This window comes from Homo sapiens, chromosome 17, assembly GCF_000001405.40.
Source record: "Homo sapiens chromosome 17, GRCh38.p14 Primary Assembly".
NCBI lineage: Eukaryota > Metazoa > Chordata > Mammalia > Primates > Hominidae > Homo > Homo sapiens.
Window position 1 is genome coordinate 62482508 of NC_000017.11, and position 19212 is coordinate 62501719.

At 42.8% G+C, this 19212-nt stretch overlaps 1 protein-coding gene across 42 annotated transcripts in view, besides 1 other annotated feature; it reads left to right on the forward strand.

The window, feature by feature from the left end:
* Nucleotides 1-19212, forward strand: part of TLK2 (tousled like kinase 2) — a 144568-nt gene that overhangs the window by 11594 nt on the left and 113762 nt on the right. The gene's annotated exons all lie outside the window — the stretch shown is intronic.
* Nucleotides 2387-2886: an enhancer, noted in NCBI's record as "NANOG-H3K4me1 hESC enhancer chr17:60562255-60562754 (GRCh37/hg19 assembly coordinates)". NCBI's record gives its function as "activates a minimal SCP1, AML or CMV promoter by ChIP-STARR-seq in naive H9 embryonic stem cells {active_cell/tissue: H9 hESC(naive)}" and the evidence as "EXISTENCE:reporter gene assay evidence [ECO:0000049][PMID:30033119]".

The following is a 19212-nucleotide window of genomic DNA, read 5'->3' on the forward strand; positions in this document are numbered from 1 at the left end:
GGCACAATCTGGGCTCACTGCAACCTCTGCCTCCTGGGTTCAAGCGATTCTCTTGCCTCAGCATCCTGAGTAGCTGGGATTACAGGCATGCACCACCATGCCTGGTTAATTTTTTTTATTTTTAGTAGAGACAGGGTTTCTCCATGTTGGCCAGGCTGGGTCTCGAACTCCTGACCTCCAGTGATCTGCCTGTCTTGGTGTTCCAAAGTGCTAGGATTACAGGCATGAGCCACCACGCCCAACCAGCTTGATAGTTTTTGTTTATTCAACAAATATTGAGCACCTGCTGTATGCTAGGCATTGTGCAAGGTGTTAGGGCTGATGCTTGAGCACAGTACCTCCACATCTGCAGTATGGGGAGAGAGAGATGATACCGTGATGAGATCTGTATTAGAGCTGTGACAAGGTGCTGTGGGAACACAGGATTTGTTACATATTCTTAATTTCTTTGGCCACTTAAACAGTTTACTTTTGTGGCACTTTAGAGTGGCTGTGCCCCTGGACGTTGTATACTGAAGTTACATTTACAAATGTAAACTCTCTGATCTAGGTGAAGTAGCTTCAAATAGAAGTGAGCAATATATTTGAATACTAAATTGATCTCTAAATGACCTCTGATGTGTCTTTTTAACTTGAAGATTGAGCATAAGGCTAATGTCCAGATCTGTCTGTTTAAATGGTCCCCCCACCCCCGCCTCCCGTAAGTCAGTAAGTTTGTATTCAAATTTTACATAGTTAAGCTCACTGATCTTTGGATTAGGGTTGTTGTTCTGTTTTTAGGTTCGTGATGGCTGTATTCAAGTATACTTTTGATGGAGTAGGGCATAAGTGATAAGAATGAGTGACATTCAACATGTTGCTGTCTAGACCCAACTTAAAGTCATGTAACTAAGGTATCAGAAAACTTTAATACAGTAACCTATCTGTTTAATAGGAAATTCTACCTTTAACATAGAAAGAAGTTCTCTGTACAGAAAAAGAAATTTACCTATTTCCAGTTTTTTTGTTTGTTTTTGAGAGGGTCTCACTCTCTAGCCTAGGCTGGAGTGCAGTGGCACGATCTCGGCTCACCTCAACCTCCATCTCCCAGTCTCAAGCAATTCTCCTGCCTCAGCCTATAGATAGCTGGGATTACAGGCGTGCGCCACTACCACCCTGTTAATTTTTGTATTTTTAGTAGAGATGGGGTTTTACCATGTTGGACAGGTTGGTCTTGAACTCCTGACCTCAAATGATCCACCTGCCTCTGCCTCCCAGAGTGTTGGGATTACAGGCATGAGCCACTGCACCCAGCTTTATTTCCAGTTGTTTTTATTCCATTAGTTGTTTTTTTTTTGAGACAGAGTTTTGCTCTGTCAACCAGGCTGGAGTGCAGTAGCACAATCTCGGCGCACTGCAATCTCTGCCTCCCGGGTTCAAGCTATTCTCCTGCCTCAGCCTCCTGAGTAGCTGGGACTATAGGCACCTGCTACCATGCCCAGCTAATTTTTGTATTTTTAGTAGATGGGGTTTCACCATATTGGCCAGGCTGATCTCGAACTCCCGACCTTGTGATGTGCCTGCCTCGGCCTCCCAAAGTGCTGGGATTATAGGTGTGAGCCACTGTGCCCAGCTTAAGTAGTCGTATGTTACTTTGATATTTCCAGTCACGGTAAGTATATTGATTACAATGAATTTGTTATTTGAGGACTAGCAGGAGAGTATTTTTTTTTTCCATAACAAAGAAACTTGAAGAAAAAAATTAATTCTGTAGTTTGCAGAGCCGGGAAAAGAAAATCTCCATTTCGTATGACTTCTTTTTTTTTTGAGACAGAGATTCACTCTTGTTGCCCAGGCTGGAGTGCAGTGGCGCGATCTCAGCTCACTGCAACCTCCGCTTCCTGGGTTCAAGCAATTCTCGTGCCTCAGCCTCCCGAGTAGCTGGGATTACAGGCACGTGCCACCATACCCGGCTAATTTTTTGTATTTTTAGTAGAGATGGAGTTTCACCGTGTTGGCCAGGCTGGTCTCGAAATCCTGACCTCAGGTGATCCACCCGCCTCAGCCTCCCGAAGTGCTGGGATTATAGGTGTGAGCCATCGCGCCCAGCCTTTGTATTACTTCTTTTACCAGTAAGACATCGTACCTCTCAGACTATTGATTTGAAATGGGGGTGTGGAGGGGATGATGATACTGGGAGAAAAGGGTGCTTTTGGAAAAACTCCTCTCCCTGGCTTTGAATTCTCATTTTGGATCATTATTTCCCAATAAGAATATCACTGTGTTAGGGCCAGGCACGGTGGCTCACGCCTGTAATCCCAGCACTTTGGGAGGCTAAAGCAGGCAGATCACGAGGTCAGGAGATCGAGACCATCCTGGCTAACACGGTGAAACCCCATCTCTATTAAAAAATACAAAAAATTAGCTGAGCTTGGTGGTGGGTGCCTGTAATCCCAGCTACCTGGGAGGCTGAGGCAGGAGAATGGCTGAGCCCGGGAGGCGGGGCTTGCAGTGAGCCTGGGCGACAGAGCAAGGCTCCGTCTCAAAAAACAAAACAAAACAAAAAAAGAATATCACTGTGTTGATGACAGCTTTGTTTTTCAAAGATCAAAAAAGATTTCAGCCCCTGCAGCTCCAAATAAGAGAGCAGAGTGACTTCCCTGTGATGGTGCCATCTAGTGGGACTGGTTCAGCCTCTTGGGCTGTCTCTTGAATTTCTCCTAACTATTCATAACATTTTTCAGTACTTTTTGATGTCCATAGAAGGAAGAAAGTCAGTGCCACTGTGGATTCTTTCCTAGTGGACAAGAGTGTTACAAGTAGCTACAGCCTTTGAACTTTCTGGTTGTTGTAAATCTTCTGTTGTATAACTTTCGAGTTTTTTCCACCTGCAAATTAGATATACACTCCATTACTTAGACTAAAACAAAATGGCCAAATCTCCACATCTATTACTTATATTTAAGTTGCTCATTACCTATATTTAGGTTTTTAATTTTTTATTTCTAATTTTCTTGCATAGTGCAAATTTTTAATTTTCTTGCATAGTGTGTTTATAGGTAGGTACTCAGTTTCTCAGCATATTTACTTCATAATAATGGTAAAACAAAAGTCATTTATTTTGGGCTTTGGGATGCACTATTTGGTTTTTGTTTAAAAGATTGACGTTTTCTGTCATGAACTGATGAGGGGAAAGTAGTAATGTGCACCCAAAAGTCTATAGCAGGCTCTCTAGTCTAGCTGCCCCTTTTTAGGAGGACCTGGAGCCATCGTCTTAGCAGTTTTGAGGTGATAAGGTTAAACTGGGTTGTGAACCTAGTAATTTTCTGGTTTTTTTTTTTTTTTTTTTTTTGAGACGGAATCTCACTCTGTCGCCCAGGCTGGAGTGCAGTGATGCAATCTCTACTCACTGCAAGCTCCGCCTCCCAGGTTCACGCCATTCTCCTGCCTCAGCCTCCCGAGTAGCTGGGACTGCAGGTGCCTGCCACCACGCACAGCTAATTTTTTGTATTTTTAGTAGAGACGGGGTTTCACCGTGTTAGCCAGGATGGTCTCGATCTCCTGACCTCGTGATCTGCCCACCTTGGCCTCCCAAAGTGCTGGGATTACAGGTATGGGCCACTGCACCCGGCTGCTAGTTCTTTATGTCTTGTTGACTTGACATGTGAGCTGTCCTACCTCTTTTTTTGAGACGGGGTCTCACTCTGTCACCTGGGCTAGAGTGCAGTGGCGCGATCTCGGCTCGCTGCAGCCTCTGCCTCCCAGGTTCAAGCGATTCTCTTGCCTCAGCCTCCCCAAGTAGCTAGGACTACAGGCGTGTGCCACTATTCTCAGCTAATTTTTATATTTTTAGTAGAGATGGGGTTTTGCCATGTTAGTTGGCCAGGATGGTCTCTCTCTCTTGACCTCATGATCCGCCCGCCTCGGCCTCCCAAATTGCTGTGATGACAGGCGTGAGCCACCGCGCCTGGCCTGTCCTACCTCTTTTTAAAGACCTCTTCCTGTAAGCACTGGATGATCTACTTCTAGTAATGTGAAACTGACTATATCTTGAATTCATATGTTTTCAATCAACCTGTTGCAGTTTATATTTCACACCCTGCTCCCTTTTGACAGTTTAAGTACAGATAGTCTCAGCAGTTCTGGAGACCATGTAAAGTAGGCAGAATTTCACCCTTGCATGCATTGTTACTTGTACCTAGTTGGATATCAATGCTAATACAGTAGCAAATACTTATAATACTGTGTGCCAGGTACTGTTCCAACAGTACAACAAAAGCAATAAGAAATGAATTTAGATCTTTTATAACAGGGATAATGGTTAACAAATCTGTACATAATCAACTCACTGGATTAATAGGCATTCTCCATTCTCTCTTTATAAGCCATACTGACTGATGCTTATCACATTGCTCCCACCAGTTGAATTATAGCCATGTCAATGATCATTTTACAATAACTTACACTTGTGTTGTAATTATTCTATTTAATACACAATTGCATAATGCAATGAAATATGATTGCAGGCTGGGCGCAGTGGCTTACGCCTGTAATCCCAGCACTTTGGGAGGCCGAGGCAGGCAGATCACGAGGTCAGGAGATCGAGACCGTCCTGGCCAACATGCCAAAACCCGTCTCTACTAAAAATACAAAAAATAAGCCGGGCGTGGTGGCATGTGCCTGTAATCCCAGCTACTCAGGAGGCTAAGGCGGGAGAATCACTTGAACCAGGGAGTCGGAGGTTGCAGTTAGCCGAGATCATGCCACTGCACTCCAGCCTGGGCGACAGAGCGAGACTCTGTCTCAAAAAAAAAAAAAAAGAAAGAAATATGATTGCAAAATGAAAGAATTGTTTCCAAGAGAACTAAGTTAACCGCCCTAGAAAGACTAGATAAGTCAGCACGCGCCTGTAGTCCCAGCTGCTCAGGAGGCTGAGGCAGGAGAATTGCTTGAACGTGGGAGGCAGAGGTTGCAGTGAGCTGAGATCGCGCCATTGCGCTCCAGCATGGCCAACAGAGTGCGCCTCCGTCTCAAAAAAAAAAAAAAAAAGTAAGTCAGCAAGGAGATATCTGTAAAAATTTATGATATTCTTTTAATCTGCAGGAATTCTTTACTTAAATCCTTGGCAAGTATCTTTTTTTTTTTTTTTTTTTTGAGACGGAGTTTCACTCTTGTTGCCCAGGCTGGAGTGCAATGGCATGATCTCGGCTCACCGCAACATCCGCCTCCCAGGTCCAAGTGATTCTCCTGCCTCAGCCTCCCAAATAGCTGGGATTACAGGCATGCGCCAACACGCCCGGCTAATTTTGTATTTTTATTAGAGGTGGGGTTTCTTCATGTTGGTCAGGTTGTTCTTGAACTTCCGACCTCAAGTGATCTGCCTACCTCGGCCTCCCAAAGTGCTGGGATTACAGGTGTGAGCCAGTGCGCCCGGCGGCAAGTATCTTTTAAGTTCTCACTTTTTTTTTTGGAGACGGAGTTTCACTCTTGTCGCCCAGGCTGGAGTGCAGTGGCATGATCTCTGCTCACAGCAATCTCCACCTCCCGGGTTCAAGCGATTCTGCTGCCTCAGCCTCCCGAGTGGCTGGGAGGTGCCCGCCACCATGCCCACCTAATTTTTGTATTTTTAATAGAGACGAGGTTTTACCATGTTGGCCAGGCTGGTCTCGAACTCCTGACCTCTGGAGTTCACCCGCCTTGGCCTCCCAAAGTGCTGGGATTACAGGCGTCAGCCACCGTGCCCGGGCCAAGGAACTCTTTTTCTATCTTTTATAAATTTTTAAGTCTGATACATCACATTATATAATCAAATTGACTTCTGAAAAGGTATTTAACCAACTGATACCTTTCTTTTCATGTAGTTCATTGCAGCAATTAGAAGCTTTCAGTTATGAATATCTAGTGTCAGCTTTTTCACATACCAAAGTCACTTTCATTTTTTAAAAATGTTTGTATGTCTTACATTTAATTACATGCCTGACAATTCTCAACAAGTATGAATGCTGAGAAATGGCCTATACTTATATTGATGCATTTTAAGGAACTGTGGATTAATTTACTTTAGTATTTATTTGATTTCCTCCTTATTTCACATGTAGTCAAGTACCAACACGTGCCTCTTTCTCTGAAATTTCTGAAGTGTTTTTCTGCCCCCATTGCTACTGCCTTAATCCAGACTGTTTTTATTCATAACTTGAAATTCTAGTTTGGAAGTCTTGCACTCTTTCTGTTCTTTTATTGGTTACCACAGAAATTACAACAGATATTTTTAACTTATCAAAGGTTAATGTTAATACCTTTGTCTTCCTCTTGGTCAGTACGAGGGCCTTGAAGATTTTTTTTTTTTTTTTTTTTTTTGAGATGGGGTGTCACTCTGTCACCCAGGCTGGAGTGAAGTGGCATGATCATGGCTCACTGCAGCCTTGACCTCCTGGGCTCAAGTGCTCCTCCCGCCTCAGCCTCCTGAGTAGCTGGGCCTACAGGCACACACCACCACACTTGAATAATTTTTGTAGTTTTTCTTTTTATAAATTTAGAAAAAAAATGCCTCCCATCAGCATCTTGCAAATTTTTGTATTTTTTGTAGAAACAGTTTTGCCATGTTGCCCAGACTGGTGACCTTGAAGATTTAACTCCATTTATTCCCCTCACAATTCACACGCCATTGCTGTTCTGTATTTAATTGTACGTGTGTGTGTGTGTGTGTGTGTGTGTAAATTTTTTTTTTTTTTTGAGACATGGTCTCACTGTGTCACCCAGGCTTGAGTGCAGTGGTGCGATTTCAGCTCACTGAAACCTCTGCCTTCTGGGCTCAAGTGATTCTTCTGCCTCAACCTCCTGAGTATCTGGGACTAAAGGCACGTGCCACCATGCCCGGCTAATTTTTCTTTTTTTGTATTTTTAGTAGAGATGGGGTTTCATCATGTTGGCCAGGCTGATCTCGAACTCCTAACCTCAGGCGATCCGCCAGCCTTGGCCTCCCAAAGTGCTGGGATTACAGGTGTGAGCTACTGTGCCCAGTCTGTATGTTTTCTAGAGCTCTTTTAGGTTTATAGAAAATTGAGCAGCTAATGCAGAGTTCCTATATACTTCCTCACCCTATTTTCTCATTATTCACATTTTGCATTATTACAGGTGTGAGCTACCATGCCCAGCCTGTATATTTTCTAGAGCACTTTTAGGTTTATAGAAAATTGAGCTGCTAATAACAGAGTTCCCATATACTTCCTTACCCTAGTTTCTCATTATTCACATTTTGCATTATTAGTGTCTTTGTTACAATTGATGATACGTTATTAACTAAAGTCCATTGTTCACAGTTGTCTACTGGCTTCCATTGGGCTCTTTATTTTTATTTTTATTTTTTTGAGATGGAGTCAACTTGCCCAGGCTGGAGTGTGGTGGTGCGATCTCATCTCACTGCAACCTCTGCCTTCAGGTTCAAGCAATTCTCCCTGTGTCAGCCTCCTGAGTAGCTGGAATTACAGGCGCCCACCACCACGCCTGGCTAATTTTTGTATTTTTAGTAGAGATTGGTTTCACCATGTTGGCCAGGCTGGTCTTGAACTCCTGACCTCAAGTGATCCACCTGCCTTGGCCTCCGAAAGTGTTGGGATTACAGGCATGGGCCATCACACCCAACCAGTTATAGAATATTCTCAGCCGTTATCTTGTCATATATTGCTTCTGTCTTATTCTGTCTTCTCTGGCATGCTAAACATATACTAGACCTTCTCATTGTGTTTTCTCTGCCTCTTACCCTGTCTCTTGTATTGCTTGTCTTTTTGTTTTCTTATCTAAATACTTGGTAGTTTCTTGTGACCTATCTTCCACTTGATTAATTTTCTCTTTAGATTTGCCTAATCTACATAAACCTATACGTTGAAATTTTATAAGAGCTGAGTCACTCTTATCCTGAGGGTGTAGCCCATGGGTCTTCTAATGTATGGGGTGGCTTTCCCACACTCCCCTCATTGGGCAGGGTCTGGGCTTTGACTTTCTTCTCTCTCTATACTCCCAGGCCTCTTAAATTATAGCTTAATTTCATAGATTTTTCTTTTTCTTTTTCTTTTTTGAGATGGAGTCTTGCTCTGTTGCCAGGCTGGAGTGCAATGGCATGATCTCGGCTCACTGCAACCTCCACCTCCCGGGTTCAAGCGATTCTCCTGCCTCAGCCTCCCAAGTAGCTGGGACTATAGGCACGCGCCACCGCACGCAGCTAATTTTTGTATTTTTAGTATAGACAGGATTTCACCATGTTGGCCGGGCTGGTCTCGAACTCCTGACCTCAGGTGATCCACCTTCCTCGGCCTCCCAAAATGCTGGGATTACAGGCATGAGCCACCATGCCTGGCCTAATTTCAAAAATTTTTCTTTAGAATTTAATCTGCAAATGACTTCAAATTGAAATCATTTTTTATTTTTAAATTTTAACTTTTAGCGACAGGACTTCATCCCCAGGCTGGCCTCAAACTCCTGGGCTCAAGTGATTCTCCCACCTCAGCCTCCTAAGTAGCTAAGACAACAGGCATGTGCCATTGCACCCAGCAGAAGTGATTTTTTTGAGTTCTGGTCTTGTGTCTCTGGATTCTTGACTTCTTACAGAAGTAATTCTTTATTTCATTGCTTTGCAGTCAATAATATAAAACTAACACTTAGTGTGTGTGAACTCTTGTGTCACTATAAAGTTTACCTCCTTGTGACTTTCACTTCTCATCTGCTTCCTTCTTCCTTCCTGCCTATAAGTGGTTGGCATTGGCGTTGTCATCACTCTTGGCCTTTAAAGTCATTTATTTCCTATTCTCTGTTTACTTTTAGTTAAATTCAGATTAAATGGAAAGATTTCTTAAAATTTTATTTTTAAGAAAGGCCATGAGAGGGAAAACAAATAAGGTATATTATCAGTGGTTTCTTATTTCATACCTGGGTCTAGGGATAATTTGACTTAGTTCTATTCTTCCTCTCTACCTTGTCTGGGTCTTAAATTGTTAGGTTCCTCCTGGTGGTATGTTTCACTTGATCCTGGCTACTACTAGATGTGATGGGATTAGTTTGGAATCTACTTCCTAATATGTTGGCCATGGTTAGCTAAGTACTTCATATATTTATTTATTTATTTTTGAGACAGTCTTGCTCTGTCCCCAGGCTCCTCGAGTGCAGTAGCGTGATCTCGGCTCACTGCAAGCTCCGCTTCCTGGGTTCAAGCAATTCTGCCTCAGCCTCCCTAGTAGTTGGGACTATAGGTGGGTGCCACCATGCCCTGCTAATTTTTGTATTTTTAGTAGAGATGGGGTTTCACCGTGTTGGCCAGGATGGTCTCGATCTCCTGACCTCATGATCCACCCGTCTTGGCCTCCCAAAGCACTGGGATTACAGGCGTGAGCCCTCACACCCGGCCCCCATATCTTACTCTTAACATATCCTTTTTCTAAAAAACTGCATATATTGCAAAGTATTGGAGTAGGAATAATATAACTTTGATACTAGAATCTGCTAAGAAGTTAGCTAGCTCTAGTTAACTTAGGAGTCATTTCAATTCTCTGGGCACTTCCAATTTAAGAATTTTATGTTTGATGAACTACACAAAAAGAGGAAGCCAGATTTGAGATACAGGATAATAAATTCCAAAAATTCCAGTTAAGTATTAATAGTGTGAAAGAATGAGTGGTGGTATTAAAATATAAACCTTCAGGAACAAAGGTTCTATAGGATAAAATCTGCCAAAATTATTTCCTTCATTTTGTATATATATAGCCTTTTGGGAACATGGGTTGCATACAATAAAATAACGATATTAGAAAAATACCATAGGAGCAAGAAAAGTACCTTGTTTTGCCCATTAAATATACTCCGAAGACAGCAGTGAGGAAAATAAAGGTGAAACATTTTTCTAAAAATAGTCTCAGAATAAGGATGGTGTCTGTTTTCTAGTCCTAACTAGATGAGGGAGATAGAGATTTGTTATTAAACTGTTTTTTTTTTTGTTTTTTGAGACTCAGTCTTACTCTGTCGCCCAGGCTGGAGTGCAGTGGCACGATCTTGGCTCACTGTGATCTCCGCCTCCCAGGTTCAAGCGATTCTCCTGCCTCAGCTTCCCGAGTAGCTGGGATTACAGGGACCTGCCACCTCGCCGGGCTAATTTTTGTACTTTAGTAGAGATGGGGTTTCACCATGTTGGCCAGGCTGTTCTTGAACTCCTGACCTCTCAGGTGATCCACCCACCTTGGCCTCCCAAAATGCTGGGATTACAGGCATGAGCCACTGCGCCTGGCCCAGAACTTTTTCATCTTCCCAAATCGTAACTCCATGCCCATTAAATAATAACTCCCAGGCCAGGCACAATGGTTCAAGCCCATAATTTCACTATTTTGGGAGGCCGAGGTGGGCAGATCACAAAATCAGGAGTTCGAGACCAGCCTGGCCAACATAGTGAAACCCCAACTCTACTAAAAATACAAAAAAGTTAGCCGGGCATGTTGGTGGGCACCTGTAATTACAGCTACTTAGGAGGCTGATGCAAGAGAATCACTTGAACCGGGAGGTGGAGGTTGCAGTGAGCCGAGATCATGCCACTGCACTCCAGTCTAGTCGACAAAGCAAGACTCCGTCTCAAAAAACAAAACAATGACAACGAAAAAACCTCCCAATAACTCCCCAGGCCCTGGCAACTATCATTCTGTTTTTCCATCTCTGTGAATTTGACTACTCTAGGTACTAATGTGAATGAAATCATAGCAGTATTTGTCCTTTTGACTGGCTTGTTTCACTTAGCATAGTATCTTCGAAGTTTATCTGTGTTGTAGTATATGTCAAAATTTCATTTCCTTCCTTTTTAAGGCTGAGTAATATTTCATTGTATGCATATACCACATCTTGTTTATTCATTCATCTGTTGATGGACCCTCGGGTTACTTTTACCATTTGGCTATTGTGAATAGTGCTATGAAAAAACAAATGCTGCTGCTATGAAAGTGGCTGTAGTCTTGCAGTGCCTGCTTTAAATTCTTGTGGCTGCAGACCCAGAAGTTGAATTGTTGGATCATATTAAACTGTACTCTTTTGTTGACCTCCTCTCAGGCCTTATTAATAAGGGACAGCTAGAAAATAGTGGTTCTTTTAATTCACATTCTACAAAAGCTTTAGAAGTCTTAGAAATCCTGTTAACATATGCAGATGAACTAGTAATGACAGTCAAATTGCAACTATTACAAATAGTATTATTGGCCCAGTAAGTAAGAACTAAGCTACCATGTAACTTGGCAAGTTACATAGGATAGTCTTTTTTTTTTTGAGATGGAGTCTTGCTCTGTCACCCAGGCTGGAGTGCAATGGCACAACCTTGGCTCACTGCAACCTCCGCCTCCTGGGTTCAAGTGATTCTTCTGCTTCAGCCTTCCAAGTAGCTGGGATTACAGGTGCCCACCACCATGCCCGGCTAATTTTTGTATTTTTAGTAGAGACGGGGTTTCACCATGGTGAGCCACTACGCCCAGCCATAGGATAGACTTTCATGTTAGTCAAACCGTAGGTTACTTTTAGAATATCACACATTTGCTAATTTGCTATCCAGATTTGCTGTACTAGAATTTTACTGTATTCTATTTTGTTTTGTTTTTGAGACAGAGTCTCACTCTGTTGCCTAGGCTGGAGTGCAGTGGTGTGATCTCAGCTCATGTAACCTCCGTCTCCTGGGTTCAAGCGATTCTTCTGTCTCAGCCTCTCAAGTAGCTGGGACTACAGGCGTGTGCCGTCACGCCTGGCTAATTTTTGTATTTTTAGTAGATATGGGGTTTCACCATGCTGGCCAGACTGGTCTTGAACTCTTGACCTCAAGTGATCCACCCGCCTTGGCCTCCGAAAGTGCTGGGATTACAAGCATCAGCCACCATGCCCAGCCAGAATTTTATTTTAAAATTGAGTACATCAGTACCTGGCTGATTTTTGTATTTTCAGTAGAGATGGGGTTTCACCTTGTTGGCCAGGCTGATCTCGAACTCCTGACCTCAAGGGATCTGCCTGCCTTGGCCTTTCAAAGTGTTGGGATTATAGGCATGAGCCACTGCGTCTGGCCAATATTTTTGATAGAGAAGGGGTTTCACCACGTTGCCCAGGCTAGTCTCGAACTCCTGACCTCAGGTGATCCACCCGTCTCAAGTGATTCACCTGCCTTGGCCTCCCAAAGTGCTGGGATTACAGGTGTGAGCCACCGTGCCTGGCCCAGATGCATTGTATAGTCTTGAGGCATTTATAATCAGACAAACAGGGACTCAGATGCCTATGGCACATAGCTGAGGATGGATATGCTGATGGGAAGGTATTATGATCCCAGAATAAGGGAGTATAATTAACTTGTTCATTGTGTATTGCTCAGAAAGCAGAATTAAGATTACTGTAGATTGGCTGGGTGTGGTGGCTCATGCCTATCATCCTAGCACTTTGGGAGACCGAGGCAGGTGAATCACTGGAGGTGAGGAGTTTAAGACCAGCCTGGCCAACATGGTGAAACCCCGTCTTTACTAAAAAATACAAAAATTAGCTGGGCATGGTGGTGGGCACTTGTAACCTCAACTACTTGGGAGGCTGAGGCAGGAGGATCACTTGAACCCGGGAGGCGGAGGTTGCTGTGAGCCAAGATTGCACCACTGTGCTCCAGCCTGGGTGACAGAGCAAGACCCTATCTCCAAAAAAAAAGGAAACGATTACTGTAGATAAACAACCTCATGGCCGGGCATGAGGTGGTGGTGAGCCAAGATCACACCATTGCAGTCTAGCCCGCGCAACAGGAGGGAAACTCCATCTCAAAAAACAAAAAACTCAGAACAATTTTGATACAATATTATTAGGAATAAATTAAAGAATGATTAGTATAGGATAGCTTGGTTTTGAAGCTTAGCAAAAGAGTTTAGAGTCCAGGGCAGAGGCCTTTTTTATTTTTTATTTTTATTTTTAGATAGGGTCTCACTCTGTCACCCAGGCTGGAGTGCAGTGGCGCAGTCTTGGTTCACTGCAAACTCTGCCTCCCAGCCTCAAGTGATCCTCCCACCTCAGCTTCCCAAAGTGATGGGATTACATGCATAAGCCACCACGCCTGGCTGAGGCGTGTTTTTAAATAATTAATCTTGATTAGTTTTCTTGAAGTCTAGGTATGTGGTAAAAAATTTTAAAAATTATATATATATATATATATATTGGAGACGGAGTCTTACTCTGTCACCCAGGCTGGAGGGCAATGTCATGATCTCGGCTCACTGCAACCTCTGCCTCCCAGGTTCAAGCGATTCTCCTGTCTCAGCCTCCCGAGTAGCTCGGATTATGGGCGCATGCTGCCGTGCCCAGCTAATTTTTTTTTTTGTTTTTTAGTAGAGACGGGGTTTCACCATGTTGCCCAGGCTTTGGTCTCGAACTCCTGAGCTCAGACAATCCACCCACCTCTGCCTCTCAAAGTGCTGTGATTACAGGTGTAAGCCACCATGCCTGGCCCCAAAATTAAAATTTTTTACTAGTTAATATATAGTACACAATTCAGAATCTTTCACAGATATACAGTGAAACATCTCTTCTACATTTCTCCCTTATCCACCTGGTTTCCTTCCTAGAGACAACTGTTAAAAAGTTTCTTATATTTGAGAGATATATCTGCAAATACTTATGTATATTCAACCCTTCCATTTTTAAAAAATGCAAGTATATTATATAAACTATTGTGCATTTTGCTTCTTGTGCTTAAGATATTTCAGGAATTGTTTTACATTCATACATATAGAGCTTCTTTGTTCTTTTTTTCAAGGCTGCTTTGTATTTCATTGTATGGCTGAACCGTTTCCTGTTGATGGACACTTAGATGGACAGCAGTGTTTTGTTGATATAAATAGTGCTATAGTGAATAATCTTGTACATAATGTCATTTAACACACATTCAGATACATTTACAGGATAAATCCCTAGAAGTGGAATTGCTTTTTTCAAGGATGTATGCATTTGTGATTTCAGTAGATATGGCCACATTCTTCTCCATGGAGAGGAGGAATTTGTCTCCCATAGTCAAGTATGGCAAGGGGTGGACAGGCATCAGGGTCCTTGAACTCTGTGAAATGATAGGTAAATATTTGTGTGTGTGTATATACATGGATGTATATTTTTCTTTAGAAAGAGTCCATGGTTTTATTACGTTCTTAAAAAGTTCTTTGGGGCTGGGCACGGTGTCTCACGCCTGTAATCCCAGCACTTTGGGAGGCCAAGGCAGGTGGATCACGAGGTCAGGAGATTGAGACCATCCTGGCTAACATAGTGAAACCCCGTCTCTACTAAAAGTACAAAAAAAATTAGCTGGGCATGGTGGCAGGCGCCTGTAGTCCCAGCTACTCGGGAGGCTGAGGCAGGAGAATGGTGTGAACCCGGGAGGCAGAACTTGCAGTGAGCCAAGATCGCGCCACTGCACTCCAGCCTGGGCAACAGAGTGAGACTCCATCTCAAAAAAAAAAAAAAAAAAAAAGTTCTTTGGCCAGGGACAGTGGCGAGGCCCAGCATTTTGGGTGGCCGAGGCAAGAGGACCATTGAGCCTAGGAGTTTGAGACCAGCCTGGGCAAAGTGGTGAAACCCCATCTCTCCAAAAAATACAAATAATTAGCCAGGCATGGTGGCGTGTGCCTATAGTCCCATCTGCATCTGTCCGGGAGGCTGAAGTGAGAGGATTACCTGAGTCTTGGAGGTCGAGGTCAAAGCCAGAGTGAGTTGTATATGCACTTCCACACTTCAGCCTGGGTGACAGAGTGAGACCCTGTCTCAGAAAAAAAAAATTCTGTGACTCAAAATAGGTTAAAGAAACCACTGACTTATAGTTAGTTGACCTGAATTAAGTACACTGCTTTGTTTTTCTCTACACAGTATTTTTCTCTTACAGAAAGTATTTGAGCAGAAGCTATGCACATAATTATTAGAGATGTTGTGTGGAGAATCATTGTGGAAGAGACTGGACTAAATCTAATTCCCAACCTTTTACTGTTATTCCTCCCACTCTTGAGACCATGTTTTAAAAGGCTTTTTCCCCCATTATTAGACTGAATTTATTAAGCAGTACTTTATTTCTCCAATTTTATTAATGAGAGCTTTAGATAGTTTGTGGTAAGTTTTACTACAGGGAGTTGAAATCCTTTCATCTATTAGGAGTTGATAGAAGTTGAGCTAAAGTCAAGCCAATCTGACATTTGTATTGTATTGTATTCTTTTGAGACAGAGTTTTGCTCTTGTTGCCCGGGCTGGAGTGCAGTGGCACGATCTAGGCTTACTGCAACCTCCACCTCCCAGGATCAAGTGATTCTCCTACTTCAGCCTCCTGAGTAGCTGGGGTTACAGTCCCGTGCCACCATGCCCAGCTAATATTTTGTATTTTTAGTAGATATGGGGTTTTACCATGTTGGCCAGGCTGGTCTCGAACTCCTGACCTCAGGTGATCCACCCACCTTGGCCTCCCAAAGTGCTGGGATTACAGGTGTGAGCCACCGTGCCCAGCCCAATCTGACATTTTAACTAGATTGTGTCAGTGAAAAATAATTCAGAAACCCTCATTATTACCTCTTGGACTTACTGAAGATATGAAGAACAAACCTTTATACCTGATAATGTCCATGTTTCTTTTGAATTCTGTGTGTGTAAAATAGGTTTAAATGAGGGCTTACATTAAATTCTGCAAGTACTATTGCAAGGAAAATTTCATTCACCGTAACAGATTCCTTAGGGCTTTCAGGTTTTGGGATATTGGAATTAATTTGTAATATACATATTATCAAAAGTTATAATTCCTAGTTTTTAGGTCTTGGAGAGAAAACAGTAGCACCATGTAATGAATTAGAAAGTTAAAAGATTTAGTTAACTTAAACATAGTTGATAGTGTCGTAGAAAGCCCCCCTTTTTTTTTTTTTTTTTGAGACAAAGTCTTGCTCTGTCGCCCAGGCTGTAGTGCAGTGGCACAGTCTCGGGTCACTGCGACCTCTGCCTCCTGGGCTCAAGCGATTCTCCTTTCTCAGCTTCCCAAATAGCTGGGATTACAGGTGTGCGCCACCACACCCAGCTAATTTTTTGTGTTTTTAGTAGAGGTGGGGTTTTGCCATTTTGCCCAGGCTGGTCTCGAACTCCTGACCTCAGGTTATCCACCTGCCTTGGCCTCCCAAAGTGCTGGGATTACAGGCATGAGCCACCGGGCCTAGCCAAGCCCTGTCTTTTTTACTGTATTATTACTTGGTAGCTCATTTTGAAAGAGGATTTTTCTAGAGATGATTAGAATATTTTATGTGGGGAAAAGTGAGTTAGACCTGTATGTCTTGCTTGATACTGGAGCAAAAGTTAAAAGGTCTCAGCTCTTGATCAGCGATTTCTTTGGTTTATTTGTTTGTTTGTTTGAGACACAGTCTCTCTCTGTCACCCAGGCTGGAGTGCAGTGGCGCAGTCATGGCTCTCTGCAGCCTCAACCTCCAGGGCTCACGAGACCCTCCCACCTCAGCCTCCCTGAGTAGCTGGGACCACAGGCATGTGCCACTGTCCCCAGCTAATTTTTGTATTTTTTGTAAAGACGAGGTTGGCCAGGCGCAGTGACTCATGCCTGTAATCCCAGCACTTTGGGAGGCTGAGGTGGGTGGATCATCTGAGGTCAGGAATTCGAGACCAGCCTGGCGACCACGGCAAAACCCTGTCTCTACTAAAAACATGAAAATTAGCTGGGCTTGTTGGTGTGCGCTTGTAGTCCCAGCTACTCGGGAGGCTGAGACAGGAGAATCGCTTGAACCCAGGAGGTGCAGTGAGCCGAGATTGAGCTTCTACATTCCAGCCTGGGTGACAGAGTAAGACTCCGTCTCACAAACAAAAAAAAAAGGACGGTGTTTTGCCACGTTGCCCAGCCTGGTCTCGAACTCCTGGGTTCAAGTGATTCGCCCACCTCAGCCTCCCGGAGTGTTGGGATTACAGGTGTTAGGCACCGTGCCCAGCCTATTTTTTACCTACTAATCGTGCTCAGTAAGGAAAACAAAGAAAATTGTTACATACTCTGGACCAGAACTCAAGGAGCCATTTGTTGTATAGTATTATTTGTTTGCCAGGCAAGGTGGCTCACGCCTGTAATCCTAGCACTTTGGGAGGCCGAGGTGGGCGGATTGCCTGAGCTCAGGAGTTTGAGACCAGCCTGGGCAACATGGTAAAACCCTGTCTCTACTAAAAATACAAAAAATTAGCCGGGCATGGTGGCATGTGCCTGTAATCCCAGCTACTCGGGAGGCTGAGGCATGAGAATTGCTTGAACCTGGGAGGCAGAGGTTGCATTGAGCTGAGATCGTGCAATTGCACTCTAGCCTGGGCGACAGAACGAGACTCAGTCTAAAAAAAAAAAAAGAAAAAAAGAATTATTTGTTGTGAAAAACTTATTTTAACAAGTTCTCCAAAGTTTTATTTATTTCTAAAATAAAAGATTAGAACAAAATTCTTATTATGGGCCGTTCTTACAGAACTTTTTAGAGTGCCATTTGCTATAATGGGATCCTGCTTTTACTAGCAAACCTTTTATTACAATGAATTTCCTAGATCGAGTCTTTATTATTATTATTTTATTTTTTAAAGAGATGAGGGTCTCCCTATGTTGCCCAAGCTGGAGTGCAGTGGTATGATCATAGTTCACTGCAGCCTTAAACTCCTGGGCTCAAGTGATCCTCCCGCCTCAGCCTGCCAAGTAGGGAAGACTACAAGTGTGTACTACCACACCTGGCTAATTGTATCTTTATATTTAAAAGAATGGAAAAAGATACTGTATAAACAGTATCACTAAATATAAAAAAGCTAAGTATAAACACTAAGTATAAAAAAGCTAGAGTGATTTTTATTAGACAAAGGAGACCTCAGAACAAGAAAAATATTGCTAGGAGTAATGAAGCATGATTCATCACGAAAGAAGGATCAATTTTTTGAGAAGACACAGCGGTCCTAAATGTATATGCATCCAGTAACAGAGTGGAAGCAAAAACTGACAGTTGAAAGGAGAAATAGACAAATCCACAATTACATTTGGAAATTACAACATTGTTCCTTAATAACTGATAGAACAAGCAGGCAAAAAATCAGTAAGGTTATAGAAGATTTGGACAATACCCTCAATGGACTATACTTAATTGACATTTATAGAACACTCTGCCCACATTCTTTTCAAGTGCACATGGAACATTTACCAAAATAGACCATATGCTGGGCTACAAAACACATTTCAACAAATTTAAAAGGATTGAAATGTGTAGTGTCTACTCTGACTACAATGGAATTAAATTAGAAATGAAAAAGATATCTGGAAAATCTCCGAATATTTGAAAGTGAAATAACATACTTCAAAATAACCTTTAGGTCAAAGAATTCACAAAGGAAATTAGAAAATATTCATAGCTAAGTGAAAATGAAAACACAATATATCAAAATTTGTGAGATACTAGAAAATATTTGTGAGCCGGGCATGGTGACTCACACCTGTAATCCCAGCACTTTGGGAGGCCGAAGTGGGCGGATCACGAGGTCAGGAGATCGAGACCATCCTGGCTAACGCGGTGAAACCCCATCTCTGCTAAATACACAAAAAATTAGCCGGGCGTGGTGGCAGGTGCCTGTAGTCCCAGCTACATGGGAGGCTGAGGCAGGAGAATGGTGTGAACCTGGGAGGTGGAGCTTGCAGTGAGCCAAGATCGTGCCACTACACTCCAGCCTGGGTGACAGAGCAAGACTCCGTCTCAAAAGAAAAAAAAGAAAATATTTGTAATTAAATGAAAATGAAAACACAGTATATCAAAATTTGTGGGATACAGCTAATACAGTGCTTTAGAAGGAAACTTCAGCTTTAAAATAAAGGTCTAAAATCAGTGACCTAACATTTTGCCTTAATAGAAAGAGAAATCTAAATAGAAGAGAAATAATAAAGAGCTAAAGTAAATGAGATAGAAAACAAGGCCGGGTGAGGTGGCTCACTCCTGTAATCCCAGCACTGTGTTTGGCCAAGGTGGGCCAATTGCTTGAGTCTAGGAGTTTGAGACCAGCCTGGGCAATATAGCAAAATACAAAAATACTAAAATACAAAAATACTGGAAGAAAAAACAAATTAAAAAAAAAAGAAAGAATGAGAATCTGAATAACCCCATATTTATTACAGAAATTGGATTAAAAATCTTCCCACAAGGCCAGGCACGGTGACTCATGGCTCTAGTCCCAGCACTTTGG